The 25,141-nt window shown below is 40.6% G+C and overlaps 1 protein-coding gene across 2 annotated transcripts in view, besides 2 other annotated features; it reads left to right on the top strand.

The window, feature by feature from the left end:
* Positions 3,341 to 3,400: an enhancer, noted in NCBI's record as "active region_6444". NCBI's record gives its function as "activates an Ori minimal core promoter by ATAC-STARR-seq in GM12878 lymphoblastoid cells {active_cell/tissue: GM12878}" and the evidence as "EXISTENCE:reporter gene assay evidence [ECO:0000049][PMID:35858748]".
* NCKAP1L (NCK associated protein 1 like) overlaps positions 3,379 to 25,141 on the top strand; it is a 50,492-nt gene continuing 28,729 nt past the window's right edge. The window contains exons 1-16 of one of the 2 annotated variants that reach the window (NM_005337.5): positions 3,379 to 3,518; positions 4,982 to 5,092; positions 6,160 to 6,252; positions 13,480 to 13,536; positions 14,016 to 14,158; positions 15,296 to 15,386; positions 15,475 to 15,612; positions 17,430 to 17,478; positions 17,576 to 17,732; positions 21,866 to 21,922; positions 22,523 to 22,619; positions 23,160 to 23,269; positions 23,433 to 23,565; positions 24,278 to 24,359; positions 24,541 to 24,599; positions 24,814 to 24,959. In NM_005337.5, coding sequence (NP_005328.2) covers positions 3,417 to 3,518; positions 4,982 to 5,092; positions 6,160 to 6,252; positions 13,480 to 13,536; positions 14,016 to 14,158; positions 15,296 to 15,386; positions 15,475 to 15,612; positions 17,430 to 17,478; positions 17,576 to 17,732; positions 21,866 to 21,922; positions 22,523 to 22,619; positions 23,160 to 23,269; positions 23,433 to 23,565; positions 24,278 to 24,359; positions 24,541 to 24,599; positions 24,814 to 24,959 — 1,625 coding nt within the window. In that variant the 5' untranslated portion in view covers positions 3,379 to 3,416. Of the gene's footprint in view, positions 3,519 to 4,404; positions 4,463 to 4,981; positions 5,093 to 6,159; positions 6,253 to 13,479; positions 13,537 to 14,015; positions 14,159 to 15,295; positions 15,387 to 15,474; positions 15,613 to 17,429; positions 17,479 to 17,575; positions 17,733 to 21,865; positions 21,923 to 22,522; positions 22,620 to 23,159; positions 23,270 to 23,432; positions 23,566 to 24,277; positions 24,360 to 24,540; positions 24,600 to 24,813; positions 24,960 to 25,141 lie in introns of those variants that run through there. The other variant, NM_001184976.2, reaches the window with a different exon arrangement.
* Positions 3,511 to 3,570: an enhancer, noted in NCBI's record as "active region_6445". NCBI's record gives its function as "activates an Ori minimal core promoter by ATAC-STARR-seq in GM12878 lymphoblastoid cells {active_cell/tissue: GM12878}" and the evidence as "EXISTENCE:reporter gene assay evidence [ECO:0000049][PMID:35858748]".

Genomic DNA, 25,141 nt, shown 5'->3' on the forward strand with positions numbered 1-25,141 from the left:
ATACCAAGTACAGGGGAATAAGTGTTTCCAGGTTTCAACAATCTTTTGGTTCAGCTGGCTAGGCAGTATTATATGAAATGGGCAGTTAAGGACAGAACCTGATTTAGATGTAAAGTATGTGGTATAGACCAAGTGTTGTGGGAGTTCGGCAAAACCTAGACTTGGGACTATTGAGCTAGATCCTGAAGATTGACTAGGATTTGGGTAAGCAAGAAGGAAAGCATGCGTAAGTGAAGTCAGAGAGGCAGACATGAACATAGCACATTCACAGCAGGCTGAGAAGATGGTCCCCACCAAGTTGGGGAGTATCCATTAAGGAGCAGGAAACAAGATTAGCTTGGGATGCAGAGTCTTCAACCACACTTTCAGGATAAAGACAAGAAATTCAAGTGAGGTGGCTCACAAAAAATACAAAAATTAGCCAGACGTGGTGGCCTGCACCTGAAGTCCCAGCTACTCAGGAGGCTGAAGTGAGAGGATCTCTTGAGCCTGGGAGGTCAAGGTTGCAGTGAGCCATGATAGCACTACTGCACTCAAGCCTGGGCAACAGAGCGAGAGCTTGTCTCAGGAAAAAAAAAAAAAAAAAAAAAAGGAATGCAAGAAAGAGCCGCTAGAATTACACTAACCCCACGAAGACCGGTGCTATGCTGCTGCTAAGCTTCCTGGATGTTGGCCTCTTACTGTCTGCTCCATATTCTCCTTGGTAAAGGTAAAAGACCAGTAGAAATCCTACAAATTGCTTTAGTAAAACCTGGGTTTCTTTGATAACAGCAGGTAATTCAAATCTTCATGACCAATATCACATTACCTCGAGCCCATAGCTTTCTAGGGACCCAGTCTAGTAAATAAAATGGAAGGCAGATTCTATATTCCTAAAATGCAAATTCTACCTTAGAGATATTTGAAATTTCATGCGTTAAGTGTTGCCATCTTGCTGCTTCTTTTAAAAATACATTCTCTTTGGAGCATGGATGTTAAGTTTCTTTTTAAAATTAAAAAACATTTAGATTCAGGGGATACACATGCAGGTTTGTTACATGGGTATATTGTGTGATGCTGAGATTTGGGCTTCTAATGAACCCATCACCCATGCCCAAATAGTGAACACAGTACTCAAGTTTTTTTTTCTTTCTTGCCTTTATTTATTTATTTATTTATTTATTTATTTATTTAGAGACATAGTCTTGCTCTATCGACCAGGCTGGAGTGCGGTGTTGAACTCCTGGGCTCAAGCGACCATCCCACCTCAGCCTCCTGAGGAGCTGGGCCTACAGCCATGTACCACCACACCAGGCTAATTTATTTTATTTTATCTGTAGAGGGGTGGGGGAAGGTCTCACAATGTTGCCTAGGCTGGTCTTGAACTCCTGGCTTCAAGCAATCCTTCTACCTTTGCCTCCCAAAGTGCTGGGATTATAAGCATGAGCCACTTCACCTGGCCCCAACTTCTTAAGTAATAATGCTGATCAGCCTTGTCTCTCTTCTCCCACTCCCTAGAATTTATTGGGACAATGGGAACTCTGGATACGGAAAATGGGAATGATTAAAAACCTGAGAAAAGGAATTGGCAAGGTGGTGGAAATGAAGAGAACTCTTTTTGATTTATAATTTTTCCTAGGACCTTTTGCTTTGTGTCTTGAAAGAAAGTTGAAATAGAGTTGAAAATTTTCTTGAGTTACGGAGTTAAGGCCTCATTGGAATGGCAAGAATATTTTAATGCTAAAATTCATTCAAGTCTCTAAGATTTAAGGGTGATTACTAATTTCCTCTTTTTAATCTTGATTAATTTGGTTCTTCTTCATGGGGCCTATTTCCTAATTTAGTCTTAATAATTCAACAAATAAACCAGCATATTTATTGAGTGACTACTGTGTCCAAGAGGTATTGTTCTAGATCAGTGTTTTTCAGAATGGAATATTTGTACCAAAACCTCCTACAACAGTGCTTATATAAGTACAGACTTCTAGGCCCCACAACAGACTCGCCTACCTACCAATGCTAATCTCAGAGGACAGGGATTGATCTGTTTCTCAAGCATCCATAAATACCATGGTACTAGAGCACTGGTTCTCAAACTTGAGTGTGCATTGGAATCACCTGGAGGGTTTGTTAAAACACAGAGTGCCTGGACCCACCCCAGAATTTTGGATTCAGTGGTCTGGGGCGGGTCCTAAGAATTTGCATCTCTAACAAGTTTCCAGGTGATGCTGATGCTGCTGGATCACATTTTGAGAATTACTATGTACTTCTTGAGAACTACTTTGAGAATTATTATGTACTGTAGAAGTACAATGCACTGTAGTAGAGCATTGTGAGAAATATAAAAAAGTATTAGAGGCCGGGTGTGGTGGCTCATGCCTGTAATTCCAGTACTTTGGGAGGCTGTGGCGGGTAAATCACCTGAGGTCAGGAGTTCGAGAGCAGCCTGGCCAACACGGTGAAACCCCATGTCTACTAAAAATACAAAAATTAGCAAGGCGTGGTGGTGGGCACCTGTAACCACAGCTACTCCAGAGGCTGAGGCTGGAGAATTGCTTGAGCCCAGGAGGTGGAGGTTGTAGTGAGCAGAGATCATGCCATTGCACTCCAGCCTGGGCAACAAGAGTGGAACTCTGTTTCAAAAAAAAAAAAAAAAAGAAAAAAAAGTATTAGGTACAATTCCTGTCATTAAGGAGCTTATGCTGTAGTTGGGGGAGATACAACGTACACTATAAACATATAACAAGGAATATATGTATTTGACAATATAAAATATAATACAATATAATATTTGACATTGATGGGGTCTTTAGGAGAAGATGGGATTTGATCTGGGTACTAAAACATGATGAGGCCAAAGGTTCATAGGCATTCTTGGATATAAAAGAAGGAAAATATAGAGGTGTACAGGGGTGGGGTGGTAGATACTTGTTTATCTAGCTTACAGCTTTTAATTTTTATTTTTTATAGAGATGGGGTCTTGCTATGTTGCCCAGGCTGGTCTGGAACTCCTGAGCTCAATGGATCTTCCCACCTTTTCCTCCCAAAGTGCTGGGATTACAGGTGTGAGCCACCACGCCCAGCTTTGTCTAGGACACTTATGGGGGCATAAGACCAAAAAGGTTGGTGCAGTCTGTGAAGAGCCTTGAAAGCCTGTCCTTCTCCTCAGCTCCACCCACTTCATAGCCTTACCAAAAGTGCTGCACAGCCAGAAAGAGGAAGTCTCCCCTGCTGAGTGTGCAAGAGGAAGCACAAGAAGGCTCTGAGGGCCTGTGAGCCATAATGACTGATTTCACCCATGAGCCAATTGCAGAGGCAACAGAAGACCAGTGCACCAACCAGGCTGGGTCCCTCCGCCAGAGGGTGTCACCATCTAAGCTGAAAGTGTTTGGGGAGATCAGACATTGCTGTCTGGTGCTCCTCTCTCAGTGGCCATCATGTCTTTGACATCTGCTTACCAGCATAAATTAGCAGAGAAGCTCACTATCCTGAATGATCGCGGTCAGGGGGTTCTCATCCGTATGTATAACATCAAGAAGGTAAGCATGAACAATGGGACTAGTACTGATTATTCCAACAATAATAGGGCAGGGAACCCTGAGGCGGCAGGTGCAGCAGTTAGACTCCCACCTTTTTTTCCACTGCTTTTCCACTGACTATAATCTACATAATCACTCAGATTATACAGGCCAGCCAGTTCAGGAAGGCAGAAGTGGAGGCTTCTTTTCAAGGCTTCCCCTTTCTAGATATGATTCTTGCCCCAACGATGGCATCTGCTTTCCTCTGGGGATGGGGGTGAGGGTGGGGATGGGGAAACAACAGTGGTATTCCAAGTGACTTGGATAAAGGTCTGGGGTCCAACCTTCTGGGTTTTATTATTTATTGTTGATCCTCTACACTCTGAAGAGATCTGAAGCTGGGTCTCTGGCAAAAACTTTTCTGTGGAAGTGCTTCCCTAAAAGGAAAAAAAATAGATAATTAGGTATTTAGATTAAAAAGGGTAGGTGTCTTCTGAGCTGCTCCTGGGGTAGTTCATGCTGTGGTGGTTGTGTGTGTGTGTGTGTGTGTGTGTGTGTGTGTGTTTAGAATAGGAACTGAGGAATTGAAAGAAGCTAGTGACAAGAGGTGGGCTAGGGGCTGGGCAAACCATAGGAAGTAAAGAGATAAAGACAGGGGTGTTTATGGGGAGTTCCTGGCATAGAAAATAGGGGACTTTGGGGGAGGGAGCTTTTGTGTTTTTTGTAATAAAACAAATCACCAGGAACACGGTTTCTCTGTCACCATGAATCCTGTAAATGCCCTTTGGGATAAGATACTTACATAGTGAACAAAATTGTGACACTGAATCTTGTACAAAGTCTAACTCCTGAGCAGCTGCTTTTCTTGTTCCTTCCGGCTTCAGTTGAGGGGCGGGGAAACAGCTTCCTCTTTGTGCTGGGGCCAAGCAGGCATTAAACTCTACCCATCAAGACAAAATGCCTAGGTTGTTATTTCGCTCTTAGATACTTGGCTTAATGTCTTGGAATTTTTTCTTGACCTACTCTTATGCTTTTTATTTTTATATTTATTTATTTATTTATTTATTTATTTATTTTCGGAGTCTCGCTCTGTCGCCCAGGCTGGAGTGCAGTGGCACGATCTTGGCTCACTGCAACCTCCGCCTCCCGGGTTCAAGCGATTCTCCTGCCTCAGCCTCCCAAGTACCTGGGACTACAGTTGTGCACCACCATGCCCAGCTAATTTTTGTATTTTTAGTAGAGACGGGGTTTCACCATGTTGGCCAGGCTGGTCTCGAACTTCTGACCTTGTGATCTGCCTGCCTCGGCCTCCCGAAGTGCTGGGATTACAGGTGTGAGCCGCTGCGCCCAGCCTCTCATGCTTTTTAAATTAGTTCCCAGGTTGCCTTTTCCTAAGACAGATTATGAGAATGAATGTTGCAAGAAGAGGTATGTTTCTGAGGAGGAGGAGAAAGGGTTGAAATATATATGGTTTCTCTCTGCAGACTTGTTCAGACCCCAAATCTAAGCCACCTTTCTTACTGGAAAAGTCCATGGAACCATCTCTCAAGTATATCAACAAGAAATTTCCCAACATAGATGTCCGAAACAGCACGGTGAGAACTTGGTCCTTCTCTCCTTTCTCTGAATAATTCTCTGCTTGAATGGCTGAAATTCTCCTCTTTTGATGCCTCTCTTCAAACTTGGCAGGGGATGGAGTAGTCTTTTTTTATTAATAGTTTTCCAAGGCTCAACCACAGGGCTTCAGGTTGTTGTAGAGCTTTAAGTCTTGAGCATTTTGAGATAAGATGGGATTCTTCCAGCATAAGCTGGAGCGAATCATCACCCCTTTTCCATTGCAAGATTCATGGGAAAACATTGTTTTTGTACAAGACAGCTCTATCAACCCAGCAGGGTACATGTATTTTATTGTTTCTGTTTCCCACTCACTGTTTCCTTGCTGTTTGTCTTAGATTTCTGCATCTAATGGGATATCTCTACTTTTCCCTTATTAAATGTTAACCCTAGATTTTTCACCCATCTTTGTAGCATCTTTGAATTCTGTTTCTTTTGACTTTGATATAAATAGTATATCTGTTCATCTGAAAGGGTGCTTAAAATTTCCTCTCATTTAGCCCTCTGTATCTAGTCAGGATCACATGCAACCATTCTACCTAGATAGACAATCTCCTTTGTTTAAAGACCTTCAGAGCACTGAAGCGTTTCTAACTTCCTCTGTCAGTATATTTCAACTCTCTTTCTTTTTCTTTTCTTTTCTTTTTTTTTTTTTTTGAGATGGAGTCTTGCTCTGTCACCCAGGCTGGAGTGCAGTAGCACAATCTTGGCTCACTGCAACCTCTGCTTCCCAGGTTCAAGTGATTCTTCTGACTCAGCCTCTCGAGTAGCTGGCATTACAGGCGCCCGCCACCACGCCCAGCTAATTTTTGTATTTTTAATAGAGACGGGGTTTCACCAGGTTGGCCAGGCTGGTCTTGAACCCCTGACCTCAGGTGATCCGCCTGCCTCGGCCTCCCAAAGTGCTGGGATTACAGGTGTGAGCCACTGCGCCCGGCCTCAACCCTCTTTAAGAATGTTTTAGGTATAACCACTGTTCTTCTTGAGTTATTTGGATCAATTGTCTTATTTTGCACTTTTTTATTGTTTTGTTTTGTGTTTCTCTCAGCAACATTTAGGACCAGTACATCGTGAAAAAGCCGAGATAATTAGATTCCTCACCAACTACTACCAGTCATTTGTGGATGTCATGGAATTTCGGGTGAGCTCTCTTGAGCCGTTTCCAATGTAGGCAAGGTCTTTCAGAGGCTATTCTTTCTTTAGATGTTCATGTATTTGCTTAAAACAAGTTCTTGAAAAAATGAGAGAGATGTACTAATATGGAAGGATATCTAAGTTGTATTGTTAAATGAAAGCAAATTTCAAAATAGTATATGATACATCACATTTCTATTTTAAAAGAGTATGTATGTATATGTATTTAGTAAATATCTAGGAAAGATCTGGACTATTTTACATTAAACTGTTAAAAATAACTACCTTTGGGGACTGATTATGACTGGCTTCAATTTAGTAGGCTATGCATGTTTTTTCTATTTTAAAAATTATGGTAAAATACACATAACATAAAATTTACTGTCTTAACCATTTTTAAGTATACAGTTCAGTGGTACTAAGTATATTAATAATGCAACCATCTTTTCACCTTGTAAACCTGAAACTCTCTACCCTTTATGCAATAATTCCCCATTTCCCTTTCTTTCCAGCCCCTTGCCATCACAATTCTACTTTGTTTTTGTGATTTTGACTATTCTAAGTACCTTATATAAGTAGAATCATAAAGCATTTGTCTTTTTGTGGCTGGCTTATTTCATCAGCCTAATGTCCTTAAGGTTCATCCCTGTTGTAGCATATTGTAGAATTTCCTTTTTAAGCTAAATAATATTCCATTGTATGATTATACTACATTTTGCTTATCCGATCGTATGTTGATGGACACTTAGGTTGCTTCCAAGTTTTAGCTATTGTAAATGATGCTGCTATGAACGTGGGTGTACAAATATATCTTCAAAACCCTACTTTCAATTCTTTTGATTATAAACATGAAAGTGGAAATGCTGGATCATATGATAATTCTATTATTAACTTTTTTTTTTTTGAGTTAGGGTCTCACTCTGTTGCCCAGGCTGGAGTGTAGTGGTGCAATCACAGCTCACTGCTGCCTCGACCTCCTAGGCTCAGGTGATCCTCCCACCTCAGCCTCTTGAATAGCTGGGGCTAAAGGCACATGCCACCACACCTGGCTAAGTTTTTATATTTTTTGTAGAGATGGGGTATCCCCATGTTGGCCAGGGTGGTCTCAAACTCCTGGGCTCAAGCTATCCACCCACCTCGGCCTCCCAAAGGCTGGACTGTGCCGGCCTATTTTTAACTTTTTGAGGAACTGCTATACTGTTTTCCACAGTGGCTGTACTCTTTTACATTCTCACCAACGGTGCATAAGGGCTATAATTCCTCCACATCCTCGCCAACAATTGTTATTTCGTTTTTTTGACAGTAGCCATCCCAGTGGGTGTGAGGTATTATCTCATCTAAGTTTTTATTTGAATTTTTGCTAATGATTAGTGATAATGAGCATTTTTCATAGGCTTATTGGCCATTTATATATCTTCTTTGAAGAAATGTCTGTTTCATTCTTTGACCATTTTTGAATTGGATTTTTTGTGTGTGTTGAGACTTAGGAGTTCTCTATACAGGTTGAGTATTCCTTATGGAAAATTCTTGAGACCAGAGTGTTTTGAATTTCATATGTTTGCAGATTTCAGAATATTTGCATTAGGCAGTTGAGCATCCCTAATATGAAAGTCTGAAATTTGAAATGTTTCAATGAGCATTTCCTTTGAGTGTCTTGTTGGTGCTCAACAGGTTTCAGATTTTGGAGCATTTTGGATTTTCGGGTTAGGGAAGCTCAACCTGTATAAACTATATATCTTTGCATTATTTGAGCTTTAAAAATTTCAAGTATTTTTCCACAATATTTTATACAAACCTACTGTAAAATTTCTAGTATAGTACAATGAATATTGTTATACTCTTCTCCTGGATCTCCTAATTGTTAGTATTTTGCCACATTTTCTTATCCTTCTCTATTTTTTAATGAACTATTTGAGTTAGCCTCATACATCATGACATTTCCTTTCCCAAATACTTAAGCATACATTTGCTAAGAGCAAGAATATTTTCTTACCCAACCCTAATATAATTATCATACTCAGGAAATCATACACAGGAAATATAACATACACAGGAAATATATCATACACAGGAAATATAACATTATGGCTGGGTGCTGTGGCTCACGCCTGTAATCCCAACACTTTGGGAGGCTGACGGGGATGAATCGCTTGAGCCCAGGAGTTTGAGACCAGCCTGGGCAACATGGTGAAACCCCATCTACACAAAAAAAAAAAAAAAAAAAAAAAAATTAGCTGGGCATGGTAGTGAGTGCCTGTAGTCCCAGCTGCTTAGGAGGCTGAGGCAGGAGGATCACTTGAACCTGGGAAGTCAAGGCTGTAGTTAGCCATGATTATGCCACTGGCCACTGTACTCCAGCCTGGGTGACACAGTGAGACTTTGTCTCAAAAAAAAAAAAAAAGAAACAAAACCCCACCCAAACTAATATACAGCCCATATTCACATTTCTCCAGTTGTCTCAAGGATAATACATTGGATTTAGTTATGTCTCCTTCATCTTTAATCTAGAATGATTTCCAGCCTTTGTCTTGTATGACACTGACATTTTTGAAGAGTCTGGGCTAGTTATTTTTGAGAAATCCTTCAATTTGAAATTGTCTTATTGTTGATAGTTTTTGGGAGCAATACTACATGGATGATATTTTATTTGAATTTTAAATAATGAGCATGTATTATTTTTATAAACATAAAAAATAAAAATTAATATGATGTTTTTGAAAGAAAAATTGATAAGGTATTATTAAAATTTTAAAAATTAATGTCGTAATTTTACATTTAGAAATTTGTCATAAGGAAACAGAATTGTTTCATGGGGAAATAAAAAAAGGAAACAAATGCAAAGACATATGTATAAGAATATACTCCATTGCATTATTTATGATAGTTACAATGTGATAATTGATATATCCAATAAATAAAGGTTTGGTTAAAAGTTCAGAGTATGTGCCCACAAATGAATATTCTGTAGCTGTTAAAGTATACACACATATATATATATACACACACATATATATTTTTTCTTTTCTTTTTTTTTTTTTTGAGGCGGAGTCTTACTGTGTTGCCCAGGCTGGAATACAGTGGCGTGATCTCGGCTCACTGCTGCCTCCGCCTTTGGGTTAAAGCGAGTCTCCTGCCTCAGCCTCCTGAGTAGCTGGGATTACAGGCACGTGCCACCACGCCTCGTTAATTTTTGTATTTTTAGTAGAGATGGGGGATCTCACCATGTTGGCCAAGCTGGCCTCGAACTCCTGACCTCAAATGATCCACCTGCCTCGGCCTCCCAAAGTGCTGGGATTACAGGCATGAGTCACTGCACCCAGCCAATAATATATTTTTTATATTAATTGGTATAGAAAATGTTCATCATATGTTGTTTAATGTAAAAGCAAATTGCAGTAAGACAGTTTAAGACAGATGTAAGATGTAAGATGTCCCTAAAATGTATATTTACATAGGTAAATATGCATATAAAGAAGATTGGAATTTCTGATCGGTGGGATTATAGTTTAAAAAAGCTAGTTAAAATTAAACTTGTCGGTATTTTCTAGTTTTTTCTACAATAAACATGTATTATTTATGTATTCAAGAAATAATGCAAATTTTAGCCCTCTGAGCAACCCAAGCTTGTGGTGGTGTTATAGTATTTTTTCAGATGATACAAGAATAATGTGTTCTGTGCCTACCCTAGGAAGCAAATCCAGGATATTCAGTAGATCACATAGTGAAGAGAGAAGTGAGGACAAGAAGGACTGTAATGTATGAACGAGGGTCAGGTCAGAGAGTATTCATTGTGGAATTGAGAGTAGTGGTTAGCAAGAGGGTAGGTGCTGGTGGAGGCAGTGGGAAGAATGCTGGAAGCACATAAAAAAAGTCTCTTACTGAGAAAAGTTGAAGGGCAAAGGAGATTTTAGAACACCTTCTGGTTGCTGCAGTGGTAAATAAAGTTCTGAGCCCAAGGTGTTTGGTACGGCTTGTTTAGGAAAGGAGGGGAAATAGGGACATTGAAGTATGATGCACTGTTAAGTAGGCCCTGAATTAGACAGACTTGGTTTCAAATCTCAGCTTTACCACTTACAAACTGTATGACTTTAGATAAGAAACTCTTTAAATTCCAGTTTCCTTATCTATAAAATGAGGAAATAAGATTTACTGTGTGAGGCGTCTGTGAGAATTAAATGAGATAATGCATGGACAACATCTAGCTTGGTGTTTAGCATATAGTAAGGCAATAGACCAACACATGTTATTTCCGTTCCCTTCTGATTCTTGTCTGTAGAGAATAAGACCTGCGTAGTGACATTGGTTGTGTGAGTGGCTGAAAGTGAATTTCAGCTATATTCCACTGGAATTTGGGTGTAGGCTGGAGTTGTAGAAAGGCATTCCTAGCAAATGAGGAAGTATAGACCTAGACAGAGGTCATGTAGCATACAGGGAAAATCAAAAGCTCTGGATTCAAGTTCTAGTACCATTCCTTACTAGCTCTATGATCTTAGGCCAGTTTCTTTATTTTTCTGCATTCATTCAGCAAGTATTTATGATGTCACCCGGCTCCCCGCCACATTGCGGAAACAAGCATGGAGACGGGGCACTGCCTGCACAGGGCACATTTTGGGGGACAGCTACCCTGTCTGGTGTGTTAGGCAAGTTTCTTAATGGCTCTTGGCCTTGGTTTCCTTATCTGTTAATTTAGACACAGCCTTTTTTTGGAAGATAAGTAAGAAGCACTTTTCCTACACATTTTAATAAATTTTGACAAGTGTATATGCCTGTGTAACCACCACTACAAAGTATTGAATATTTCCATCACCCCAAGGGTTCCTTGTGCCTTTTTTTTTTTTTTTTAGCTTCAGCCAATCCCTACCCTTCACTTCTGGCCCCAGGCAACCACTGATCTACTTTCTAGAATAGATTTTTCTTTTCTAGCAGTTCAAATAAAGGGAAACTATACAGCATGTATTCTTTTGTGTCTGGCTCCTCTCACTCAGCATCATGTTTCTGAGATTGATCTATGTTGTTGCATGTATCAGTGATTCAGTACCCCGTCCTCCCTTTTTTTTTTTTGAGATGGAGTTTCACTCTTGTTGCCCAGGCTGGAGTGCAATGGTGTGATCTTGGCTCACTGCAACATCTGCCTCCTGGGTTGAAGGGAGTCCCCTGCCTCAGCCTCCCAAGTAGCTGGGATTACAGGAATGCGCCACCACACCTGGCTAATTTTGTATTTTTAGTAGAGACGGGGTTTCTCCATGTTGGTCAGGCTGGTCTCGAACTCCCGACCTCAGGTGATCTGCCCACCTTGGCCTCCCAAAGTGCTGGGATTACAGGCGGGAGCCACGGCACCCGGCCTCAGTCCCCCTTTTTGCTGAGAACTATTCCATTGCATGGGTACAATTTATTTATCCATTTACCTGTTGATAGACATTTGAGTTGTTTCTAGTTTTAGGCCATTATGCGTAAGTTGCTACAAACTTTCAAGTACAAATCTTTGTGGGGACATATTTTTCATTTCACTTGGGTAAATCTAGAAGTTGAATTGCTGAATCATATGGTAAGAGTATATTTAATTTTATAAGAAACCGCCAAACCTTTTTTCAGAGTTGTTCCATTTTATCTTCCCACCAGTAATGTATGAGAGCTTCAGTTTCTCTATATTCTCATCAGCACTTGCTATTATTAGACTTACATTTTAGTTATTCCAGTGGGTGTGTCATGGTATCTTATTGTGGTTTAAATTTGCATTTCCCTGATGGCTAATATCATTGAACATCTTTTCATGTGCTTATTATAAATATATATATATATTTTGAGACAGAGTCTTGCTCTGTCACCCAGGCTGGAGTGCAGTGGCATGATCTCAGCTCACTGCAACCTCCGCCTCTCAGCTTACTGCAACCTCTGCCTCCCAGGCTCAAACAATTCTCGTGCCTCAGCCTCTTGAGTGGCTGTGATTACAGGCATGTGCCACCACACCCAGCTAATTTTTTTTATTTTTATTTTTAGTAGAGATGGGGTTTTGTCATGTTGGCCAGGCTCTCTTGAACTCCTGGCCTCAAGTGAACCTCCCACCTCAGCCTTCCAAAATGCTGGGATTACAGGTGTGAACCGCCATGCTTGGCATCATATTTTTTTTATGGTATTAAGTGCCTGTTCAAATCTTTTGGCAACATATTAAAAAAAAAAAATATATATATATATATATATATATATATTCCTTAATCTATCAATTTTACTTTTTTAGAAATGAAAGTACCAATATTCAGTGGAGAAGGCTAGGAACTAGGAACAAAACGAATCAGTGGAAGAAAGGCTGAATGAATTGTGGTATACCATGGGCTATTATGCAGCTATGAAAAAGGATGCATTCATGCTCTAGGAGATAACTCTGAGAACTTTTGGCAAGTAGGAGTGAATGAGCAAAGCAAAATTACAAGCAGGGAATATTACCTCAATTTTGTAACACAAATAATGACCAAAAAACCTGTTTCTCTCTCTCTCTTTTCCTTTTATAATCTAATAGTATTATATAAATAGGGAGAAAAATAAGAAAATATTATAAGAAAAATAATATCAGGTTGCTAAAGTGGTTTACCTGGGCGTTCTGCAGGATGGAGTGTGGGTGCTGATGTTGGGGGAAAGAAGTGTCTGCAATAAAAGTGCATATTAATTTAGGTAAAATTATGTGTGAAAAGGAGAAGAATCCCTATCATACTAGAATGAGAGTTAAATGAAGTATATGCAAATTACTTGGTAAGTACCTCACACATAGTGAATTGTCAGTAAATAGAAACTCATGGAAAATTAGACAGTATTCCCGTTTGTTAATAATTAACTCCTGAGAACAGGAGATAGAATCCAGGAACAGACTTACTTCGTGGTTTGTCAATACGAATCGTTTGATTTTTGGCATTTTTGAAGCTACCTATTAGATAATCTACATTTTACAACCTTTTTTAATTTGGAGGAATGGGGCATAGGGATGATAAGCTCAGGAAAAGTGTGTGTAATGTAATAGAGACTTGTGCCTGTGGAAATGTAGGCATTTGGCAGTGTAGGTCATAGGGGCCCACTGGTGGCTTACTGAGGAGGAACTTCCTCCCTCTTTTTCACAGTGACTTTTCTCTGTTACTTGGTGGCTTTCTAGGACCTCTAAGGGAGAGGTCCCTTTCCCTCAAGTTCTGGTAGTACGTCACCTTCTCTTTGATTTTTTATTAATTCTTGTCTTCACTTCCACCCCCAGGATCATGTATATGAACTTCTCAACACCATTGATGCCTGCCAGTGCCATTTTGATATCGTAAGAACCTTTGCAATTCTCTTCTATCGTAGAGTCAAAGAAAAGGCCAGGTCTAGGTTGGGAGGTCTAGGTCTACTCACAGGATGGGGTGGGAAGGGACTGGAAGGATGGCTATTTTGTTTATTCCTTCTCAGGACTACTATAATTGTTTTGTAAAAAGTGCTGAAGTGAAAATATATTTACATGTTAAGCAGATCAGCAATGTGATTTAATTAATTAAAAAATTACATAAAAATCTTCTTCACCTTTTCCATCTCCTAAAAGCTACCTTATTTCCTGGCCTCCTTGTATATTGAGCTCACTTTTAGCCCCTGACTTTTGTTCCAATTTTCTTATTCTTCTTTTCAATCCTGTCAGTTCCTACTTCTAAATAGATTCACTCGGAATATATTGAGCACTGTCCAGAGTGGTTGGGGAAAGAAGGAGATCCAGGTTAATTGGCCATGCTGTCCTTGGGTTCCTATGTATTTTCCTTGTAGAATCTCAACTTTGATTTCACTCGGAGTTACCTGGACTTGATTGTAACTTACACCTCAGTCATTTTACTTCTGTCACGGATTGAAGATCGGCGGATACTCATTGGCATGTACAATTGTGCCCATGAGATGCTGCATGGGCATGGGTGAGTTAAGGCGAGAGTATTATATGAAGAGTCTCATACATGGTGCTATGATGTAGAGAGTCCCTCATGCAAAGGAAATTGATGCCATGATTTCTTATATGAGAACCTATAATCTACATTGACCCAGGCAAAATAAGGTACACTTTTACATATTCAGTTGACTCTGAAACAACACGGGTTTGAACTACGCAGGTCCACTTTATACATGGATTTTTTTCAACCAAACATGGATTGAAAATGTAGTGTTCATGGGATGTGAAATCCACCCTTAACAGAGGGCTGACTTTTTAAATGGTGTGGGTTCCGCAGCACTGACTGTGGGACTTCAGTATGCACGGGATATTGGCATACGTGGGAGTCTTGGAACCAATCTCCCTGCTATAATGAGAGACAACTGTGGCTAACTCTTGAATATCTGCTAGTGGATTATTCAATTTGCATCATCTCTGAACAATTTTTAATCCTGGACTGGCTTCTACTCTGATTTTCAGGTTATTACAAAAGGCAAAGAAAATTCTTTTTAGTGTTGGTAGGAATAATATTAGTAAGGTAAATCCATTAGAGGTAACTAATGCGTGATAATACATTTGAAGCCAAATATAAATGGATTTTGAATTGTCTGCAGTTCTGTCCCCCTCCATTAGTGCAAATGTAAGTATTTAAGGGCTGAAAAAATGAAGACTAGAGGGATCAGAGTGGGTTGTGGCACATCATTCTATGATGATGTGTATTCCCACATGCCTACGTGGATACCTAGACACATGCCTTACCTGTTAGCTTTGAATATTTATATATCCTTTTGGGTTGTATAACGATTTGAATCTAGGCATATTACTGGATTTTGAACTAATTAACAGATTTATAGAGTACCTATCATGTGTCCAACCCTATTTTTGTGCTTATAAGGAAGAAAATTTCATGGACCTGCCCAAAATGAAATGGTTCTATTTAGCCATAGCTTAGTAACCTGATCCTGGAGTGGGGTATCTTTATATGTAATTTACAGTGTAGTATGTATATCTTTGGAGGTGGTGGGGAGTGCCAGCCTATGCACATATCTTTATCCTATATGCAAACATAAGAGTTCAAGTCATGGGTAAGGGAGGGCTGTAACCCCTCTCCTCTGCTTTCTTCTAGTGACCCCAGTTTTGCCCGTCTGGGTCAGATGGTCTTGGAGTATGACCACCCTCTGAAGAAGCTGACAGAAGAGTTTGGGCCTCACACAAAGGCAAGTTCCCTGACAATGGAGAATTCCTCAGGCAAAAGTATATTGTCCTCATGATTGCCGCTAAGGTTTCATTTGCTTTTCCCCACAGGCTGTGAGTGGAGCCCTCCTCTCTTTGCATTTCCTCTTTGTCCGAAGAAACCAGGGGGCTGAGCAGTGGCGCAGTGCCCAACTTCTAAGCCTCATCAGCAACCCCCCAGCCATGATTAACCCTGCTAATTCAGATACAGTGAGTGCCCTTTTCCTTTTGTTAGTGGAAGCATTCTCTTTGCCAAGGCCATCATCTCTGTAGAGGGTGCTTCTTTCAGGAAATATCAGTACTAAAGAATGCTTTAGTCTTCTTCTAGGGTATGTCTCTAAGTTGAGCACTTCTTGTAGCTAAAAAATCATGGTTGGTTTGGGGCTTTTGTTTGGATCAGGGTTAGTGGTTTAACAAAAGTGATCTATAAGCAGTTAGCCTGTCCATAGAAGGAATTTAGTAAATATTCATAGAATGAATGAATGGATGAAACAGAGTCATTAGGCACCTATTAAGCCTAGCAGCAACTTGATTTTAGGAATCAATTAACTTATTTTTATTTTTTTGAGACAGTGTCTTACTCTGTCACCCAGGCTGGAGTACACTGGCATGATCACTGCTTACTGCAGCCTCCACCTCCTGGGCTCAAGTGATCCTCCCACTTCAGCCTCCCGAGTAGCTGGGACTACAGGTGTGTGTGCCACCATGGTTGACTAATTTTGTTTATTTTATTTAATTTTAATTTTTATTTTTGAGACAGAGTCTCACTCTGTCGCCCAGGCTGGAGGGCAGTGGCGTGATCTTGGCTCACTGCAACCTCCCCATCTTGGTTCAAGCAATTCTTCTGCCTCAGCCTCCCAGGTAGCTGCGACTACAGGCATGTGCCGCCACACCTGGGTAATTTTTTTTTTTTTTTTTGTATCTTTAGTAGAGACAGGGTTTCACCATGTTGGCCAGGCTGGTCTTGAACTCCTGACCTCAAGTGATCTGTGTGCCTTGGCCTCCCAAAGTGCTGGGATTACAGGCGTGAGCCACCGCGCCCAGCCTGTTTATTTTTTTGTAGAGACGAGGTATCACTATGTTGCCCAGGCTGGTCTTGAACTCCTGGGCTCAAGTGATCCTCCTGTCTTGGCCTCCCAAAGTGCTGGGATTACATGTGTGAGCCACTGTGCCTGGCCAGGAATCAATTAATTAATAAATGTTTTTGTTTGATGACTGTGGGCTCAAAGTCCTTCCCTCAAAGAACTTATAGTCTGGTAGGGAACATATGCCATGTAGTCACAAAAATACAACTGATGGTACATGATTAGTGATAAGTGCCAAATGAGTGATTTACATTTTAAGCAGTAAAATAATCCAAAGGATTAACCATCACAGGGAGAAATCATGAGAAGATTTCTGAGTCTTGCTCTCTTCATTTTATTGTTATTAAAAATATCTGAACTGTTGAAGAGAAGTTATGTGAAACCTTTTGCTTGTTCTGACTTCTAGTCCAAGTTCCTCTTTATTTTCTCAACTGTATTGTTTTTCCCTTACTCCACTTCCAGTGCCTCATCACCTCCATTATTGGCAGGCTTCCCTGCTGTTGGTTTATCAATGTGCCCTAAACTAGTCTGGTAAAATAAAAGTTAGTTTTTTAAAAAAATTTAGAGACAGGGTTTTGCTCTGTTGCCTAGGCTGGAGTGCAGTGGTACAATCACAGCTCACTGCAGCCTTGACCTCTTGGGTTCAAAAGATCCTCCTATCTCCTCCTCCTGAGTACCTAGGACTACAGGTGCACACCGCCATGTCTGGCTAATTTTTAAATTTTTTGTAGAGACAAGGTCACACTGTGTTGCCCAGGCTGGTCTTGAACTCCTGGCCTCAAGCTATCCTCCTGCCCCTGCCTCCTAAAGTGTTGGGATTAAAGGCGTTAGCCACCACCCCTTGCCAAAAGTTAGTTTTGATACTCAGATCCTAGTTTGTCCTTTCTCCTTTAGAGGAAGGCCAAGTTAAATAACTGATCATCTTTGCTTCTCTTCTCACAGATGGCCTGTGAGTATCTGTCTGTGGAAGTAATGGAGCGCTGGATTATCAGTAAGTTTAGTGGGATTAGATGGGAGTGGATGAAGCAGTATGTTATATGAAGAACAAGTTCTAAAAGTCTTCCTCTGCACTGTTTTCCCACCTACAGTTGGGTTTCTTCTTTGTCATGGGTGCCTCAACTCCAATAGCCAGTGCCAGAAGCTGTGGAAGCTGTGTCTGCAGGGCTCCCTCTACATCACCCTTATCCGTGAGGATGTGCTGCAGGTGCACAAAGTCACCGAGGACCTGTTTAGCAGTTTGAAAGGGTGAGAGACACGAGAGCCAAACTGATCTTCCTTGAATAGTTTTTAGCCCCTCCAATATCCTTTTTCAGTCTCCACAAGTGTTCCCAGATATAGGTGGTAACGATTAATTCTAACTATTGAAGAAATATACATTAAATACCTACTATTAGCTAAGTGCTTCACTGGGTTTTAGGGACACAATAATGAATAAGACAACATGGAGGTTAAGAGCACAGACTCTGAAACTAGATTGCTTGGGTTTGAATTCAGGCTCTACCACTAGTTGTGTGGCCTTGGGCAAGTTGCTCAAATTTCCCATGCCATTACCTCAATTTCCTCATCTATAAAATGTGGATAATAGTAGTACCTCCCTATGGCCTACCTCATAGGGTTGTTGTGAAGAATAAAAGTGTTATTATTTGTAAAGCAGGTAGAAAAGTTCCTGGTACATTGTAAGTGCTATGTGCTTGTTAAAGAAAAAAAAAAGACAGTTACTGCTCTCGAGGAATCTATGAACTGGTAGAAAATAAACAAATTGTTTGATAGAGTAAGAGATTATAATGTGTAAACACAAAGTACTGTGGAAGCATTTAGAAGGACACTTAAACTGGCCTCTCAGGATCTAGAAAAACCTGGAGACAGGTAGATCTGAAAGGCTAAACAGTTGAAGAGTGTGTGTATGTGTGTGTGTGTGTGTGTGTGTGTGTATGTGTGAGTAATTGTGTGTGTGTGTGTGTGCCTGTGCATTGGGTAGAAAGGTAGGGGAGTTGCTTGAGGCAAAGAAAGATATTCTAGGCAGAGAAACTATCAAGATTTTTGAGGCAACAAAGAGCATGGCAAGTTCTGAGAAGTTCATGTAGTTCAGTGCATGGGCATCTGGGTTATAAAAATGAAGATGTTGAGGATGAATTTGGAGAGGTAAATTAGGATGTTGTATGCTTTGCTATGGAGTTTGAATCCATCCCAAAGAGGATGGGGAACTATTGAGTGATTTCAGACAGGGGAGTGACATGATCATATTTGCATTTTAGAAAAGATCATTCTGGCTGCATGGAAGAAAAGAAATTAGATGGGCAAAACTAGAGGCAGAGATTAATTAAGTAAATTAGAAGGAATTGAGGATGATGTCGAGGTTTCTGGCGTGGATATCTGGTATTCCTTAAGATAAGAGAGCATGTGATAAAAGTAAGTTTGTGGGAGAAAGATTGCGTGGTTAGTTTTAAACAGGTTGACTTTGAAATGTCTGTGGGACACTGAAGACAGATGTGTTAGGCCTTCTATTTTATGGTTCTGGAACTTGGGAGTGAGGTCTGGATTCAGATAAAGATTGCTGAGTTGGTAGTTAAAGCCAGAAGAGTAGTTGAGATTACTCAGGAGCACATGTGGAGTGAGAACAGAATGGGAAAATCCTCTGTGTATGTTGATATTTAAGGGCCAGAGAAATCAGTGGGAGATACTGAAAAGAAGAGGGAAAAGAGAAGCCAACAAAGAAAGCATTCCTAGAAGGAAGGACCAGTGATCTGTTAGACGATGTTGGGAGATCAAATAAAATAAGAATTGAAAAAATGTTCATTGGATTTGGCTCTAAAGATGGTTTTAGTGCCCTTCTTGTGAACAATTTGAGTGGTGAAGTTGAAACCTGGGCTGCAGTGAGTTTAGGAGCAAGTGAGAGATATGGAATTTAATAAACAGCTCTTTCAAAGTTTGACTGTAAAGGGAAGAATAGAGAGAGGTAAAATGAGAAGGAGGAGTGGGTTTAAGGAAAGGGTCAAAATACCAATTTTTTTTCTGGTTGCAAATAAAACATCCAGAAATGTAAAAAGTGCAAAGTGGAAGTTGACTACACTATCACCTCCCAGAATAGTTTGATGTGCATCCTTCAGATGTGTGTGTGTGTGTGTGTGTGTGTGTGTGTGTATAAACACATAAAGATGGCATGTATTTTCAACCTTATGAAAGTAATTTTTAAAAAGCAATGGAGCCACACTCTATATTATGTTCTATGGTTTGCTTAAAAAAACTTACTATGTTTTGGATATCTTTGAATATCAGTCTATAGAGACTTATTATTTTTAACAGTTGAATAATATTACATTATGTGGTTGTAACATAGTTTATTTACAAAATCCTCTATTGATGGATATTTAAGCTGTTTCCATTTTAAAAAATCATTGTAAACAATGCTGTAATGAACATTCTTAGGCATATATCTTTGTGAATCTGTGAATATTTTTTTATTTTCTTTTTTTTTTTGAGACTTGAGTTTTGCCCTTGTTGCCCAGGCTGGAGTGCAATGGTGCCATCTTGGTTCACTGTAACCTCCACCTGCCGGGTTCAAGCGCTTCTCCTGTTTCAGCCTCCCAAGTAGCTGGGATTACAGGCATGTACAACCACCCCCAGCTAATTTTTTGTATTTTTAGTAGAGACGGGGTTTTACCATGTTGGCCAGGCTGGTCGCAAACTCCTGATCTCAGGTGATCCACCCACCTCGGCCTCCCAAAGTGCTGGGATTACAGGCGTGAGCCACCGCGCCTGGCCTTGAATCTGTGAATATTTCTATAGGCTAAATTCTTAGAAGTGGAATTGCTGAAGTAAAGGGTATGTACATTTCAAATTTTAATAGCTCTTACCAAATTGTGCTCTAACCAGTTATTATCAAGAGCCTATAAGAATACTGATTTCTCACACTCTCAACAACTAAGTATTGTCATTAAAAACCATTGCCAGAGTTAGAAAGAGTAAATCTGAGATTAATAATTAGAAGTTACAGGAGGTGGATTTGGGCATATGCATGAAAAAACTTTCTGATGATTACTGCTTCTAAGGAATGGAAGAGATGTTCGAAGGGTGTTCAGTTCTCCATCACTAAGAGCAGCAACTAACTTGTGTGATTTATAGTTTAGGGAGTTCTTTGACATAAATGATCTAATTTATCTTCATGAAAATTCAAGAATAAGTATTAATATCTTTTTTTATAAATGAGAAAATGGAGGCTCAGTCTCAGTGTCACTCAATAAGAGGTGAAATTAGGACACAATTCCAGGTTTCTGGACTCTGAATCTTTTCTCTTTCCATTGTGCTATGCAGAGATTAAAATAATTATCCAATAGATTGCTGTGAAGTTGAATGTTGATTTAATTAAGATACTTTCCAACACCAAACTTCTTTGATTTTGTGCTAGTTCAATAAAGTAGTGGTTTGGAGAAGGGAAAGGAGAGGTGATGAAGTCCCAATAATGTGGTGGCAATAGTGATACAGGACAAGAGAAAACAAATGTAAGGAACATAGAGAGCAAAGAGTCTAAGATAATGCTGGGATTCTGAGCATGGGTCACTAGTAGAAAAAAAGAGATGTGGTTAGGAGAATCAAATATTGCAGAAAATTAAAAACAATGAAAAGGCCTTCTAATTTGGTGATTCAAAAGTTCACATTGACTTTAGAGAGAGCAGTTGCTTAGTGCTGAAGGCTTTGTGGGATTCAAGGGTCAGTGAGAGGTGAGGAAGTAGAGAGAGTATAGGTGTCTCTTTAGAGAAGTTTGGTGGTGTGGGAAAATAAGCAGAATTCGGTGGATTGTCAGGGTCAAGCAAGGATCTTCTTAGAATACGGGAGGCTTTGAACTTATTTGTTGGGAGAAGAGAATAAGCCAGTGGAGAAGGAGAGATTAAAGTATTAAATAGATAACTGATACAGTGAAATTCTAAAAGGAAGTTGGTGGGAATGGGACCCAAGGTAGAGATTGAGTAACTACTTTTACTTGAGAGCAGGGCCTGTGTTGTATTTATACACTGCTCCCTTTAACCCCCTCAAACCTGGAAGAGTACCTTGATTTGAAGGAGTCAAGGCAGGAGCACAGGAAGAGAAGTCTAGCCCCACCTTTGCCATTAAAGCCCTATGTGACCTTGACAAGTCATTTCCCTTCCCTAGGTATTATTTTCTGTATCTGTAAAATTATGAGGTAGAGTTGAATGATCTCTAAGCTGTGAGTCTTTTATTAATAGGCTAGGGTGAGAAGTAGGGTTTGGAAAGATCCTGCCTGTGAGGGCTGCCCATGCTCCCACCAGGGTATAGGCTGGACTCTCTGAGGACTGGGAAGGTGAGGCAAGGGCCCTAATGGGTAGCATGGTCAACCCCATTGTGCTTGTGTCAATCCTCAGGTATGGCAAGAGAGTGGCAGACATAAAGGAGAGCAAGGAACATGTAATTGCAAACAGGTAAAGGGTGGTGAATGCACTCTCTGAGAGGGGATGGAATAGGAATCTCTTCTCACTTTTGTTCTCACCTAAGCCATCCTTAGTTTCTGTACAGCTTTATTGCCTCAACCCAAGAACTTGCTGCTACCCCATAAATTCTTTTTTCTTTTCTTTTCTTTTTTTTTTTTTTGAGACAGAGTCTCGCTCTGTTGCCCACGCTGGGTGCAATGGCATGATCTCGGCTCACTGCAACCTCCATCTCCTGGGTTCAAGTGATTCTCCTGCCTCAGCCTTCTGAGTAGCTGGGATTACAGGCACCCACCACCACGCCCAGCTAATTTTTGTATTTTTAGTAGAGACAGGGTTTTGCCATGTTGGCCATGCTGGTCTTGAACTCCTGACCTCAGGTGATCTGCCCACCTCGGCCTCCCAACGTGCTGGAATTACAGGCAAGAGCCACCACTCCTGGCCCTTTTTTCTTTTTTAAACCAAGTCTAACTTGAGCATTGAACCTTCCTTCTGCCTGATATCCCTTCCTAAATATAGCTTTCTTCTGTGCTGCCTGTGGAGGGTTTTTAAGGGTGGGAGAGGTGATAGTCATGTTCCCCTTTTCTTCCTTAGTGGCCAGTTTCATTGTCAACGGCGGCAATTTCTGCGGATGGCAGTGAAGGAGCTGGAGACTGTGTTGGCTGATGAACCGGGACTACTGGGTCCTAAGGCAAGAGGAAGAAATGTTGGGAGGGGAATGATGGCCAGTGATAAGAGACTGTGTAGCTACGTGGCACTCACGAGATTTTGCCTTTCTGAGTCTTTTGTCATTCATTTGTATGTATATATGCGATTCCCTTGAACATTCTTGGAGTATCCCAAAACCTTTTGTATCTCTTTTTTTGGCACTATACGTAGTATGTGGTGTATTAAGATTACTTTTATACATGTCTTATCCTCTATTTGAGTGTGAATGAATTGGAGACAGAGCTTGTTTTTTTGTTTCAAACCACATAAATGCCCAGTAAATATTTCTAAAACTTTATTTGATAGGGAGAGAAGGGTACTAATTGTGAGCCAGTGTCAACATGTGTACCTGCCTGATTGTGTGTTCTGTAGTTGAGGTTTTTTGGTGAGTCTGAATGTTTATTATTCACACTGTTGTGGCTACACAATTACATCCATACCTATATTATCATGGTAGTTTACTCTGTGCTTTGAAATCCATTTTTAAAGTTGAAAATTCTAATAGTCTCTACCCCCTCCATAGGCTCTTTTTGCTTTCATGGCCCTGTCCTTCATTCGTGATGAGGTCACCTGGCTGGTTCGCCACACAGAGAATGTCACCAAGACAAAGACACCTGAGGACTATGCTGACTCGTTAGTACTTGACATGGCTAAGAACCTTGTCCTTAGATGGACTGGGGACAGGGAGGCATCAGATGACCTTAGGAGGTCTCAATTTCTGCCCTGATATCACTGTGTTTGTCTCAGTTCATATTTCTAGTCTTATTCATCTCTGTTCTCATCCTAAACTTTATAGGAGCATTGCAGAGCTACTTTTCTTGTTGGAGGGGATTAGGTCTCTGGTCCGAAGACACATCAAAGTGATACAGCAATACCACCTTCAGTACTTGGCAAGATTTGATGCTCTTGTGCTCAGTGACATCATTCAGGTATGATATTTAATTGATTATACTTTGGAAATTTCAGGATGATCCCTAGTGATTTTCCTATTGAAACCACTCTGGCTGAATCTCATGCTCTGTAAGTTGGGTGTCAAAAGGTCCAATCTAGGCTGGGCGCGGTGGCTCACGTCTGTAATCCAAGCACTTTGGGAGGCCTAGGCGGGCAGATCACGAGGTCAGGAGATCGAGACCATCCTGGCTAACATGGTGAAACCCCGTCTCTACTAAAAATGCAAAAAAAATTAGCCGGGCATGGTGGTGGGCACCTGTAGTCCCAGCTACTCAGGAGGCTGAGGCAGGAGAACGGCGTGAACCCGAGAGGCAGAGCTTGCAGTGAGCCGAGATCGCGCCACTGCACTCCAGCTTGGGCGACAGAGCGAGACTCTGTCTCAAAAAAAAAAAGGTCCAATCTGCCCCTTCATATTTGTTAAAAGAAAAAGAAAGGACTAATAATCTCAGCCGTCTTTTTTTCCCCACTAAGTGAAATTACATAGAAATAGGAGAGAAAAATAAAGAGAAACTGGATGTTAGAATGGCAGGGAACCCGGAAAGTTTCCTTCATCTCTTGCTTGGCTTTTTCTCTCTGTTTTTAACACTTAGCAATTCTTTCTACCTTCATACGCTGACTGAGCCTCATGGTCCTAGTTTCTGTCCTAGGGAACCTGTGCCCACTTGACAGTAACTGCAGCTCCTTTTTTAGAACTTGTCTGTGTGTCCAGAGGAGGAGTCCATCATCATGTCCTCATTCGTCAGTATCCTCTCCTCTCTGAATCTCAAACAAGGTAACTGGAGGGAGGTGGGGGAGGCAGGACATATGTGAGGATGAACATCTTTTATCCGGAAATATTGATCTTTGAGCCAGGAAGTAGGACAAGATGTTTTTGAAGAGGATCTACCATTCTATGTAGTTGGATATTGGTGTGCTGTTTATTGTTTCCTTTTATACTTCCGTTTTTCTTGCAGTTGATAATGGAGAAAAATTTGAATTCTCAGGATTGAGGCTGGACTGGTTCCGCCTACAGGTAATGATCTGTTCCTGTTAAAGATTCTCATCCTCAGATTCTTCCTCCCCCACAATCCCTTCTCTTTTTATCTCCTAAATTTGCTTTATGGAGTGAGTCAACTTTGAAAACTGCTAATTGGACAAGACATACTCAGGCCAAACTGTAATTCCAAGGCTGGGGGCCTTTTTCATTCATCTTATTTTTCTCCACACTTTCCCAACTCCAACCGCAGGCATACACTAGCGTGGCTAAGGCCCCTCTGCACCTGCATGAGAACCCTGACTTAGCCAAGGTGATGAACCTCATTGTCTTCCACTCCCGAATGCTGGACTCCGTAGAAAAATTGCTGGTGGAAACTTCTGATCTGTCTACTTTCTGGTATGTCTTGGTTCAGAGCTCTCTTTAAAAAGTTTTATTGTTTCCTTTTTTCATTTTTTTCTCCATTATGCCACTTACTTCAAAGAATTTTGTTTAATTTTTTTTTTTTTTTTTTTTTAAAGAGACAGATCTCACTATGTTGCCCAGGCTGGTCTTGAACTCCTGGCCTCAAGCAATCCCCC

Source organism: Homo sapiens, chromosome 12 (assembly GCF_000001405.40).
Source record: "Homo sapiens chromosome 12, GRCh38.p14 Primary Assembly".
In the NCBI taxonomy this organism is placed as follows: domain Eukaryota; kingdom Metazoa; phylum Chordata; class Mammalia; order Primates; family Hominidae; genus Homo; species Homo sapiens.